Source organism: Homo sapiens, chromosome X, assembly GCF_000001405.40.
Source record: "Homo sapiens chromosome X, GRCh38.p14 Primary Assembly".
Lineage (NCBI taxonomy): Eukaryota > Metazoa > Chordata > Mammalia > Primates > Hominidae > Homo > Homo sapiens.
This window is the reverse complement of record NC_000023.11, coordinates 134,022,482-134,035,942: the sequence shown is the minus strand read 5'-3', so window position 1 is coordinate 134,035,942 and position 13,461 is coordinate 134,022,482. Positions and strand designations below refer to the sequence as shown.

General features: G+C 40.9%; 1 annotated feature.

The window, feature by feature from the left end:
• Positions 8,984-9,197: a silencer, noted in NCBI's record as "fragment chrX:133160773-133160986 (GRCh37/hg19 assembly coordinates)". NCBI's record gives its function as "represses an EF-1alpha promoter that drives an FKBP-Casp9 reporter gene in an ReSE screen in HepG2 liver carcinoma cells {active_cell/tissue: HepG2}" and the evidence as "EXISTENCE:reporter gene assay evidence [ECO:0000049][PMID:32094911]".

Sequence of the window (13,461 nt, the reverse complement as noted above, 5' to 3'; positions counted from 1 at the left end):
GGCAATGTGAGGATGAAGCAAACACAAAGAGGCAGGCAGAGCTGAAGGAGTTACAAAGAAACAGAGCTAGAACCAGGATTAAATTGTGCCTTGAATCCTCCTTACCCTAAGCCCTTAGTTGTATGATTCAATAAATCCCCTTTGTTTGAGTCAATTTAAATTGGGCATCCTGTTACTTCTAAGCAGAAGCATACTGACATATATTTTTTAAAGAGTTCTATGAATTTATATTGCTATTAGTTGAATTGAAACTTCTTCATTAAGTATTTTAAATTGCTAATTTAATAAATACCTTATTATTGCCTTAATCTTGTTTTAGTTGAATACCTGCCCATATGTTTGCTTCCTATTTTTATTTTCTCATATGAATTGACTGTTCATGTCCTTTATCCATTTATATGCTCATTTATTTGTTCATTCATTCATTGAACAAATTTGTCTTGAATGTCTACTATGAGCCTAGTCTTGATGACATTTTAAAAATAAATTCAAATAAACTCTTTATACAGAATAGCCATTAAACCTTTGCCTATCATAGTTGATGCAATTTTTTCCTAAGGTAGAGTTTCCCACTTATTTCAGCCTTTTTGTTCATTCATTAACTCAGCAAATATCTATTGAGCTCATGCCAGGTTCAGTTTCAGGTCCCAGGCATATGGCAATTAAAAAAAAATTTCCTGCCTTTATTGTGCTTAAATTCTAGTAAGGTCAACATATAAAAAATAAATAAACAAGTAAATTTATGGTAGGTTAGATGACGATAGATGCTATAGTTCAAGAAAAATAGTTGTCAAAATGAGGTCAGGGAGTACTGGGTGGAGGTGTTGCTATTGCAAACAGGCTGGTAAGGAACATTTGAGCATGTAGCTACCTGGATGAAGAGCATTTGGGGCAGAGGAAAATAGCAAGTGCAAAGGCCCAGAAGAAGGAGCTTGCATGAGATATTCATGGAACAGCAAGGAGGTCAGCATGGTTGCAGCAGAGTGAGTAGAGAAGGAGACAAGCTCAGAGGAACCAGGAAACCAAATTATACAGATCTTTGTAGGCCATTACAAGGATTTTAGATTTTATTATACAGAGGTTTGCTTATGTCAATAGTGTAATTAAAATAGCTAATCAGCCTAGGTGTGGTGGCTCATGCCTGTGATCCCAGCTACTTGGGGAGGCTAAGGCAGGAAGATTGCTTGAGCCCAGGAGTTAAAGACAAGCCTGGGGAACAGAGTGAGACCCCGTATCTTAAAAAACAGAACAAAACAAAACAAAAGGATAACAGTTAATCATGTCCTTTGAAATTTCTTTTCCTGGGCTGGGTGCAGTGGATCATACCTATAATTCCAGCACTTTGGGAGGCCAAGATGGGAGGATTGCTTGAGCCTAGGATTTTGAGACTAACCTGGGCAACATAGTGACACTCAATCTCTACCAAAAAAAAAAAAGTCACAAAAACTAGCTGGACATGGTGGCATGCACCTGTGGTCTTATCTACTCAGGAGGCTGAGGTGGGAGGATAGCCTGAGCCTAGGAGGTTGAGGCTGCAGTGAACTATGATGGTGCCACTGCACTCCAGCCTGGGGGACAGAGCATGACCCTGTCTCAAATAAATAAATAAATAAGTAAATAAATTTTCCTGAAATACATCACCTTTTCAAAGACATAATGCGTATGGATTCTCTTTGTTTCTGTCTTTTAATTCTCAATTTTTTTCTTGAAACAAAGTTTCACTCTTGTTGATCAGGCTGGAGTGCAATGGCACAATCTTGGCTCACTGCAATCTCCACCTCCTGGGTTCAAGGGATTCTCCTGCCTCAGCCTCCTAAGTAGCTGGGACTATCGGTATGTGCCACCGTGCCTGGCTAATTTTTGTATTTTTAGTAGAGACAGGCTTTCACCATGTTGGCCAGGCTGGTCTCAAACTCATGACCTCAGGTGGTCAGCCCACCTCTGCCTCCCAAAGTGCTGGGATTACAGGCATAAGCCACTGTGCCCAGACCAATTCTCAATTTTTATTTTTATTTTTCATTTTTTTTGAGATGGAGTTTCACTCTTGTTGCCCAGGCTAGAATGCAATGGTGCGATCTCGGCTCACTGAAACCTCCGTCTCCCGGGTTTAAGCAATTCTCTTGCCTCAGCCTCCCAAGTAGCTGGGATTACTGGCGCCTGTCACCACACCTGGCTAATTTTTTTGTATTTTTAGTAAAGACAAGGTTTCAACACGTTGACCAGGATGGTCTTGGACTCCTGACCTCAGGTGATCTGCCCACTTCGGCCTCCCAAAGTGCTGGGATTACAGGTGTGAGCCACCGCGCCCGGCCAGAAAGAATATTTTATTTTAATTTCTGTGGTAGTTAGTGGCAGGGGAAGATACAGCACCCCAGAGTGTAAAATTGAGGAGGCTGTCATTCTTTCACTCAACAAATATTTGTTGAATGCCTCCTATGGGTGCTAGGTCCTAGGAGCACAACAGTGAACAAAACAGACAAAAATCCTTGCTATCTTGAAACTCATAGTCTAATCATCTTCACAGGATGCAGCAGATTTTACTGGAAAATGCTAGAGGATTGCTTGTCCATAATTTAGTGTGCTTTCTGCTTGTTTTATTTGGATCTGATTCTGAAGTTTTGCCAGTGATGGCTGGGAATGACTTGTAATGATATTGGGTAGTATTCAGAATGTAATGTGAACATAGAAGTGTCATTGAAATATGCAGCCCCTGTACCTGTATTGTAGCTGTACCCATGAATCTATTTTGAGAGGAATGGGTTTCTTGTTTGGCCTTAGAAGAGTTTGTGATCTCATGCTCATTGACCTAGGCAATATTGTGAAGGTTGTATTAAGTTTATGGAACTTGTTTAACCTGAACTGCTTGATATATATTTTCCCTAACTGTTTTTGATATTGATTTAGTCCTTTAGTCTGAAAGTCTTTATTGGCTATTTTTAACTGCTTAGAGACTTGGGAGTAGTTGAAAACAAAGGACAAAATCTGAAGGTAAATATTAGAAGTCTTTATGGAAGGGATTTGAAGAACAGATGGCATCCTTATGTAGTGATAGCTGGTATGAGGACATAGGAAGGTTGGGAGAAGACAGCAAAGAAGTACAAAGTAAGATAAATGAAGATTTCCTAAACCCCCAGATCACTGATGAAGTTAGACCTAGTCTAGAAATTAATTAGGGCATATTCAGTGGTCTGAAAGAATTCCTTTTGGCATGAGTCTAGTCTGAACAGTTTGAATTTCTCAAAAACAACAGTTGTGGTAGAACAGCTGTTATTTTACATCTGAAAATCTCTGCAGCACACTCCCTGTGCCCTGGATTTGGCTATTTTTCATTAATAAGGCTGGAGCTCCTGGAAGAGAAAGCAATCTTGGATCTTGGGATGGGGAAAAGCACTGAGACAACACTGGTGCTTTAACAGCAGCTTGTGAAAGGGCATTTTGCAGGGAGGGGAAGTTTAAAGAGGCTATAAGAAGAGTCAAAAAAGAAGGAAAGGAGGGAGGGAATCAGCAGTGAAGCTGCCTATGACAAAAGGACAAGCAATTGAATCAGTGCAGGAAAGCATGAAAGAAGAAGCAACCATAGGGTTTCTGATAGGGGAGGCTGGGTTTGACAAGCAATCATTGTTAACAGTGTATCCACCATCTTATACATATTATCTTATTTAATCTTCACAGCAACTCTATGATATAGTTACTATTATTACCCGATTTTACAAATAAGAAAGCCAAGGTATAGTGAAGTAATTTTTCCAGTTACCCAGTTAGTTAAGTGGCAGAGCCCGGACTCAAGTCCATGCTCTTAACCATTACATTACACAGTCTTTTAGAAGCCATGTAAAAAGAGCTAAAGCAGGATTTTGACATCATCCCAAGGCTAAAATTTTTCTTTTGTTGTAGTTCTTATTATTCCCTGTTTAGTGTATGTGGATTTATTTTGTAATATGAGGTGCTTTAAACTGTTTGGGGTTCCTCCATGAGTGAGGGCTAATTTTGCTTTTTTTTCAAGTTATCCAGTGGAGAATGGTTGAATCTATATATTCCTGAGCCAATTCCAGGACTAAATCCATGATCACTCGGCTAGCCCATGCTTTTAATGCTCTGTATTTTATTTGTGAACCCCCTCCAATCTCGCAGAAGCCCAGTGTGTACGGGGGTAATGACTGTCTTGGGGTGATTTAGTCAGTTTCAGTGACCTCCATCAGCAAAAAATGACAGGCTTATAAAGCAAATAAAAAAGGTAGGAATATTAAAAGTGATTAGAAAAAGGAGAAAATTCATCCTGAGAAGAGAAAGCCTTGAGAAAAGATGGAGAAAGCAGAATCAAAACTTACCAAGGCCTTTGGACTACATTCTTGTCTCTTAAGGAGAAGAGAGCTGAGATATGAGTGACAGGGCCTAACTGAGCCAAGTACAGGGATCTTGCTATATTCTGATGAGCTCTGGCAGGAAGTTATCAGGGGAGAAACTAGAGCTTTGCAACTGTCTATGTTTTGGGCAGAGTTTAGAGAAGACAGCATCCCCACTGTACTTTGAAGTGTCCCTTTTAAGAGTGCCAAGTAAAATAATAATATTAATAATAATAGACTGGATAAAGAAAATGTGGCACATATACACCATGGAATACTATGCAGCCATAAAAAAGGATGACTTCATATCCTTTGCAAGGACATGGATGAAGCTGGAAACCATCACTCTCAGCAAACTATCACAAGAACAGGAAACCAAACACTACATGTTCATACTCATAAGTGGGAGTTAAACAATGAGAACACATGGACATAGGGAGGGGAACATCACACACTGGGATCTGTCAAGGGGTTGGGGGCTAGGGGAGGGATAGCATTAGAAGAAATATGTAATGTAGATGATGGGTTGGTGGGTGCAGCAAACCACCATGGCACATGTATACCTATGTAACAAAACTGCATGTTCTGCACATGTACCCCAGAACTTAAAGTATAATAATAATAATAATTACCTAAGAATTTTCTTTTCATAAGAAACCTAGATTTTCTGCATCTCTGGAGTTATTTTTACCCTGGGAGATGGTGCTGAAAAAATGATAAGTTGACTCAAGGAAAATGGATATCTTTAATATTTAGCATTCCATCTATGAACATGGCATGAATTTTATTTATTGAATGTATCTTTTATATCTCCTGAAAATAAAACTTCTACCTTTGGTAAGTAAATTAAATCTAGAACCCTTAACTCCTGTACCCTAGAATTTTCTCCCCCTGGGGTCTCTTGGAATAGCTAGTGGTTAAGAGCATGGGGTTTGGAGTTGGACAGAGCTGCATTTCTATTCAACTTCTGCCATTTTCCTTGCTGTGTAATGTGGGATAAACCAGTACACCTCTTTTAGCTTCAAGTTTCTCACTTATAAGTGGGGGTGAGAAATAAAATTGCCTACCTCACCAGGTTGTTGAGAGGGTTGAATGAGATAATGTGTGTAAAGCAGTGCTGTACCTGGCTCAGGCACTCAATTATCAATAGTTACTGACAACCCCACTTATGCCTACCAGTGAAGAAAGAGGTCCCACCTTCCATTCAGCACTTTGGCCTAAATGTAGACACAGTAACCTTTCCTGAGTACCTTTTAGTATAGTTGAGGTAAGGCTGAAACATTGGACAATATTGTTCTAGAGACTAGGGAATAACAGTAAATAAATAAACACAGAGAAAAATATGAAACCAGGTAACTGTCCTTTATAACATAAGGCTTGCTTTTCAGAACCCCATCTCATCTAGGTCTCTACCTATTTCCATCAGGTGGATATCATCTTAGCAACCCACCACCACCCAGGAGCATAAGGTGAGAATTTACGAATCCCCCAATGTCTGAATCCAAGATAGCTAGACTTAGAGAAAGACAAGCAATTCATTTCTTGCCAACTTAAGAACCTGTCTTTTTTGCTCAAATGATTGATAATCTGGAATAATTACTGTTTTCCAGGGAGACTCCATCCATGCTTCATCCACATGAGTGTGGCCTTTCCCTACAGTTATAATTTGACAAGGATTTCAGAAAATCACACACTATATCAATAGTTATCAAAACACACATATATGGGTGAGAGTGGAGGCTTTTTGTTAACATCTTCCAACAGTTTTGTAGTTTTCTTTATATGGATAATATACCTCTCTTGAAACATTCATTCTTAAATTTTTTTATATTTTCTATGGCAATTTATTTAATACTTATATCTTATTTCTTTTTCATATCTTATTGAATTGACCAGAAGTTCAAAATGATATTAAAAATGATAGAAGATGTCTATTTTGCTTCCTTTTTTAAAGAAAGAGATGTTTTTCTTTCTTTCTTTCTTTCTTTTTTTTTTTGTTTGAGATGGAGTCTCACTCTGGAGTGCAGTGGTGCAATCTCGGCTCACTGCAACCTCTACTTCCCGGGTTCAAGCGATTCTCCTGCCTCAGTCTCCTGAGTAGCTGGGGTTACAGATGCACACCACCAGGCCCGGCTAATTTTTGTATTTTTAGTAAAGACGGGGTTTCACTATGTTGGTCAGGCTGGTCTTGAACTCCTGACCTCGTGATCTGCCTGCCTCGGCCTCCCAAAGTGCTGGGATTACAGGCATGAGCCACCACACCCGGCCTTTCTTTCTTTCTTTCTCTTTCTCTCTCTTTCTCTTTCTTTCTTTCCTTCCTTTTTTGATACAGGGTCTCACTCTGTTGCCCAAGCTGGAGTGCAATGGTGGGAACATGGCTCACTGCAGCCTTGACCTGGGCTCAGGCGATCCTCCCACCTCAGCCTCCTGAGTAGCTGGGACTTCAAGCATGCACCGCCATGCCCAGCTATTTTTTTTTTTTGAGAGATGAGGTTTCACAATGTTGCCCATGCTGGTCTTGAACTCCTGAGTTCAAGTGATCCTCCTACCTTGGCATCCCAAAATGCTAGGTGTGAGCCACCAAGACTGGTCATTAATATTTCTTTAGTTACATATAATTTTGCCTTGTGTTTTAAATCAATGTTCTTAATCATGTTATCCTTATTATTTTCATGGATATCCTTATCATGCTTATCCTTCCATTCCTAATTTTACAGAATGTGTTTTCAATGTTATCATATGCTCTTTTGGATATCTCTTGGAAATGATTCTTGATACATCGGGCAAACACTTATTAAGCTTCTACAATGCGTCAGATACTGTGTGAGAGTGCTGGAGAGAAGAGGATGAATAGTGTCACAGGCTAGTCAAAATAAGGACAAGATGGCAACCATGACAATACAGCATGGCAGATGCTAAAACAGACAGAATGCAGTTTAACTCAGAGCTTCCTAACTGATGCCAATGACAGATTGAGTCGGAGTTGCAGGCAATGCTGATATTCAGCAGGTACACACCAGGACAGCTAGACCCTTAAAATATTGAAACACTTCCATAGTAAATCACTATTGCCCTGAGCACACTGAGTACCCTCTCACTGACCCAGCTATTCCCTGGGACACACTCCCAGAATCCACCAACTAAAGCGATAACACCTGGCACAGCAAGAGACCATCAGGACCCTGATGTAATGCTGCTGCCCAGCGTCTTTTCTAATTGGTCCATCCCTGTGCTTTGCCACTTGGTAAACACTGTGAATAGCATACCTGGTTATAGATCTGCCAATATATCCATCCCCTCAACTATTAGGGTGGCCAGTGGGCTTGGGACAGCCAGAAACCCTTCTCTCCACCTCCAGCTAAGAACAGCCTCGTTTGCATACCTCAGTGGCCCTTACAAATATTTTTATTTTCTTTCTTTTTTTTTTTTCTCTTGAGGCAGGATCTCAGTCTGTCTCCCAGGCTGGAGTGCAATGGCAGAGTCGAGGCTCACTGCAGCCTCGACGTCCTGGGCTTAAGTGATCCTCCCACCTTAGTCCCCCTGAGTAGCTAGGACTATGGGCACAAGCCGCTACTCCCGGCTAATTTGCGTATTTTTTGCATAGACAGGGTTTCACCATGTCGCCCAGGCAGGTATCAAACACCTGGACTCAAGCCATCTGCCCGTCTCGGCCTCCCAAATTGCTGGGGATTGCAGGCGTGTGCCACCGCACCCAGTCTCATTTTCTATGTATGCCACAAAAATGTTGAGAAGAACTGATTTAACCTATGGTTAACATTATACTAGTAGACTGCTTTAGGCTGAACCACTGTTGCTTTCCGAGGATTAATTCTTTATGATTGTGATGTTTTGCTCCCTTCAAGCTTTGCTGAACTGTTTGCTTGTATTGGGGCTAAAGTTTTTGGACCTATCAACTATAATATAGTTTACATTTGGTCTCCGGTGTTCATGTTTTATTTTATGTTTATCACGTTTTGGGATCAGGACCATATTTGTTTCGTGGGGTGAAAGGCACATGCTTTTTCTGCTTTCTCCTTTGAAGGTTTAAAATTACTTACCATTAGGTTTAGGAACTTTGTGTGACAGTTTCTGAATTTATTCTTCAGTTATTAATTTATTCAGCTTTTCTACTTGTTGTGGTATGAATTTTAGTATTTTATATTTTTGTAGACAAAAAGGATCTATTGCACTATATTTTTAAAATGTATTAGCATACAATTGTGCATAGCATTTTCTTACAATTAAAAAATATTGTTTATACTGGTTGTTATATCCCCTTTCTCATTTCTAATTTTATGTATGTGTTTTTCTTACATAGATTTGCCAGAGTTTTATCTACTTTATTAGCCCTTTCAAGCAGCAAGCTCTTGAATTTATTTATTAATTCAACTGTTTTTACAACCTCTAATTTATTTATTTTTGCTTTTATCTTTATTATTTCCTTCCTCCTATTTTCCTGCGCAACTTTTTACCATTTTTGGAAAAGGTTAAGCTCAATGTTTTTATTTTATTGGCCTCAAATTTTAATAAGGAGAGGTAAAGACCACGTCGTTGTATGTGTGTCAAAAGCCTCTTTCTCTGAGCTTGATAGATGCTGGAGGAATAAGGGAATGAAGACTGCCAGGAGTCCAAAGTCAAAAGAGTATGGCAGTGAATGCTCCTCCACAATAAGTCGCGTTTTCCCAAAGCATTTCTCCACAGTGGGGCAGTAGGGAGTAAGAAGTGTTGCAACTAGCTTTCCGGAGAGTCAAAGGTATTCTGCTGTGCTCCGAAACCTGTGCGTATGTTAAGTTGGGAGTCCTCCACCCAGCCTGTCTGCTGTGGGTGCCGATGCGTGCTTGTAATTCTTGTTCTCTGGTGTTGGCTTTTTCTGAGGCTTGTTTTCCTTTCTGTTCGTCACAGTAGTTAGGTAGCTCAGCTCTTCAGACTGCTGTATTAGCTAAGCCAAAATCGCCTGACTCCCTTCAGGGGTCGGACAGAAGAAGACTTTGAGCTTGAGCTCAAGCTGCGACGACATGGCTGCTGCCACTATCACCACGGCTCCCTCCTCTTATCTGACTCAAAAGTTTTGGCATTAGAGGCTTAAGGCATAGATTGGCTGTCTCATGGTCCCAGGAGGAGTTGATGGGAAATGGCTTGTGAGCTTAAATTGTTTTAGAGATGTGGGGGTCGGGGAGGAAGAAAAGAAAGAAGAGGACGAGAAGGAGGAGGAGGAGGAAGAAGAAGGGTAAAAAAAAAAAATGGGAGTAACCTACAAAGGAAGGGATTCCCAGGGGGAAGAGGAAGCAGGTGCAAGGAAGGCCCATGCTTTTCTTCCCAAAGCTCAGGCATCCTGCTTCTGAGTCTCCCCCTTCAAAAACGTATTTCTCCCACCCTGGCTCTTGTTACGAATCAGTAGGGGGCAGCAGTCCCAGTTTTAGGTGTAAGTATAATAGGTGGTGCCTATGGCCTACAAGGCCCTATAAGATCTGACACCTCTAATAGGCCCCTTCACTTCCTATGCCCCACCCACATTCGCCTTCTTTTTGATCCTTAAGCCTGCCAAACCCTTTCCCACTTTTGTACTTTCTAGTACCTCTGCCTGAAACATGCTTCCTCTGGCTTTCTCATGGTTGGCTGTTTCTCATCGTTTAGGTCTCAGCTCAAATGAATTGTCACCTACTTGCAGAAGCCTTCCCCTGAGCACCTTAGCCTAACAAAGCACTGCCCCCAACCCCAAGCTACTCTTAATCCCATTTTTTTTTGCTTTATTTTCTTCATAGAAATTCTTATTTGTTTTCTTCTCTCTCTTTTTTTAGCGACCAGGTCTTGCTCTGTTACCCAGGCTGGAGTGCAGTGCCACAATCATGGCTCACCACAGTCTTTAACTCCCAGACTCAAGCAATCCTCCTACCTCAGCCTCCCAAGTAGTTGAGACCACAGGTGTGAGCCACCACACCTGGCTAATTTTTGTACTTTTTGTAGAGACAGGGTTTCACCATGTTCCCAAGGCTGATCTGGAACTCCTGACTGCAAGCAATCACCCCATCTCCGCCTCCCGAAGTGTTAGGATTACAGGCACGAGCCACTGCACCCAGCCTTGTCTGTCTCTTTCACCTGGTTGTAAGCTTTACTAGGCCAGGGAATCTTACTGCCTTGTTCACTCCTGTATGCCCAGGTGCTCATAACCAGTGGTTAGCACATGGTATACATTCGATAAATCTGTTTTGAAGGGATGAATGAATCAATGTGCCAAGCATTATGCTAGGTGCTGGTGGCACAAACCCAAAGGGAGTTCATAGAACAGTGGGAGAGAAATAAATATAAGTGAATAATTGTTAAATAATGGGAGGCATGTATACTGTACCAATATAGGCTTCACCTCTGTATTCAGAACAGACTTTTAAATCCTGGCTCTAACATTTACTAGTCACATGACTGTGGGTGATTGCTCAACCTCTCTGTGGCTCACTTTCCTTATTTATAAAATGAAAATAATAATCATAATACCCCATGGAATTGTTAAGAACATTATATGAGATGATATAAAGGGTCAGTACAGTGTTTGATAAATGGGAGTTATTATTACTGAATCTCTAGAGTGGTATATATAGAGTATGTTGCAATTATTTCTTTTTTTTTGCTTCTGCCTATCTTTGGTTCTGGCTGCTCTAATGGAGAGCAGTCCAGATCTAGAAGGAACTGCAGTGATGTTCATTAACAGCAAGCTTGCTCAGAATAGCTTGGGCCTGGCTGATGGAGCTGGAAAGTGCTTTTCTGAGAGGGAGTGGTGCCTTCTACTTTCCATTCCATCTTACAAAGCCAGGCCAGTGTAGGGAAATTAATTCAGGCCTTTAAAAGCTGATAAATGCAGAGGCACCTACTGCTAATATTTCAATCAAGTGTCAAGATAGAACTGATTAAAAGAGGATTCAAAAGCTTCTAGTGGATGGAAGCTGTATTCCTTAACTATTATCATGTAAGACATCATATTTTTTTATTTGACCCCAGTTAGTCCATATTGCTAATACTTTAAGGGGAAAAAAAGTCCTATTTTGTACAGTGTTATTATGCATTAATTTGAGAGAAATGTATTTTAATGCACTTGGCATCCTCTTGGCTCTCCTTCATAATTATGGGACTAATTAAACATATACTTGTAAGCAATCAGTGTTGGGGCTGAAAAGGGATTATAGGGATTATTCAGGTGGACCCTACATTTTTTAGAGGAGAAACAGGCCCAGTATCTAGCTTGAAGACATGTCTTGAAGAAAGCAGTGTTTTAGAAAGTTTAGTCTGGTAGCGCAGCAGAAAACCTCCATTGGCCTGCTACCAATTGAGCCTCCTCTTTTCTGTTCTGGCCCTGCTCCTCCTGTTCCTGTTTCATAATTCAGCAAAGTAATTGAGTGCCTAGTGGTTGCCACATCCTCTGCTAAGTACTGGATATGAGCAGTATACAAACATGGCTGCAGTTGTTGTTCAGCCAGCAGTCGAAGAGAAAGACAGATAAATAAACAAGCAATAGGGGAAGTACAGGATATTGGGGGGAGCACCTAGGAAGCTTACTTAAGCCGTTCTAAGCGGGGTGGGGATGGGAGAGGGTGATCATCAAAGGCTTCCAGGAGGAAGTCTTTTGATTCTATCTAAACTACAGGGCTCAAGTTTGAATGAGACTTAATCATGTGAGTGGGGGGTGGAGAAAAGGAATGGATTACTGACAGAAGGATTCCCTGTACAAAGGCTGGGCAATGAAAGAGAACATAGTGCGGCCATAAAAAGGATGAAGCACTGATCCATGCTACAACATGGATAAACCTTGAAAATATTATGCCAAGTGAAGGAAGTCAGACACAAAAGACCACATATTGTATGATTCCATGTATATGAAAAGTCCAGAATAGGCAAATCCTTGGAGACAGAAAGTAGATTAGTGGTTGCCTAAGGCTAAGGGGTGTGAGGCTTCTTTTTGGGGTAATGAAAATGTTCTAAAATTGATTGTGGTGATGAATGTACAATTCTGTAAATATACTAAAAGACATTGAATTTTACAGTTAAATAAGAGAATATGGCATGCTGTAGAAATAAAAAAAATGATGTGGCTAAAAAACGGGGGGACGGAGAGAGAGAGAGGCAAGAGATAAAGTTAAAGAGAGAATACTACTACTAAAAGGTAATATTGGCAGGACGCGGTGGCTCAGACCTGTAATCCCAGCACTTTGGCAGGCCAAGGTGGGTGGACCACTTGAGGTCAGGAGTTCGAGACCAGCCTGGCCAACATGGTGAAACCTGACTCTACTGAAAATACAAAAATTAGCCAGGCATAGTGGTGGGTGCTTGTAATCCCAGCTACGTGGGAGGCTAAGGCAGGAGAATCGCTTGAACCTGGTAGGCAGAGGTTGCAGTGAGCCGAGAGTGAGTCGCTGCACTCCAGCCTGGGTGACAGAGTGAGACGCTGTAAAGAAAAAAACAAACAAAAAAAAAACAATAACCCTGGAAGGTAGGCATTGTAATTACTCCGTTTTATAGCTGAGAAAACTCAAGTACAGGGAGGTTAACTTGCTCAAAGTTACACAGCTACTAAAAGTGTTAAAGCTGAGATTTGAACCCAGCCAGTCTTGCTCAAGTCTAATCATTACACAGCACTGTCAAAGCAAGATCTGATTATGAAGGGCCTTGAAAATCATGTTAAAGAGTTTAATTTTTTTCTTGAAGGTCTTTGAAGTGTTTTAAACAAAGGTGATAAGATCAGATCTGTATGGAAAAAAATCAATGGCATTCTTTTGCAATGTGACCAACTGAACTGGAGATGAGACAGGGTGGCAAGATCAGAGGCAGTGAGTTCAGTAAGTTGGTCTGAACTTGGGGGCCTGAAGTAAGAATGGCAGTTGCAATGAGGATGGAGAGAAGTGAATGGATTTCAAAAATTTTTAGGAGATTTAATTGGCAGGACTTGATGACTGACTGAATGTGAAGTGGGAGAAAGAAGGAATAGAGGTTGACTCCCAGAATTTTCCCTTGGGCAGCTGGGTTGATGGCGGTGCTATCTTCTGAGATCAAAGAAGGAGGATGAGTTCAGCTTCAGGCATGTTTGTACCCATGAGACATTCAAGTCTAGATGTTGAGTTAGGAAGTTGGGTAT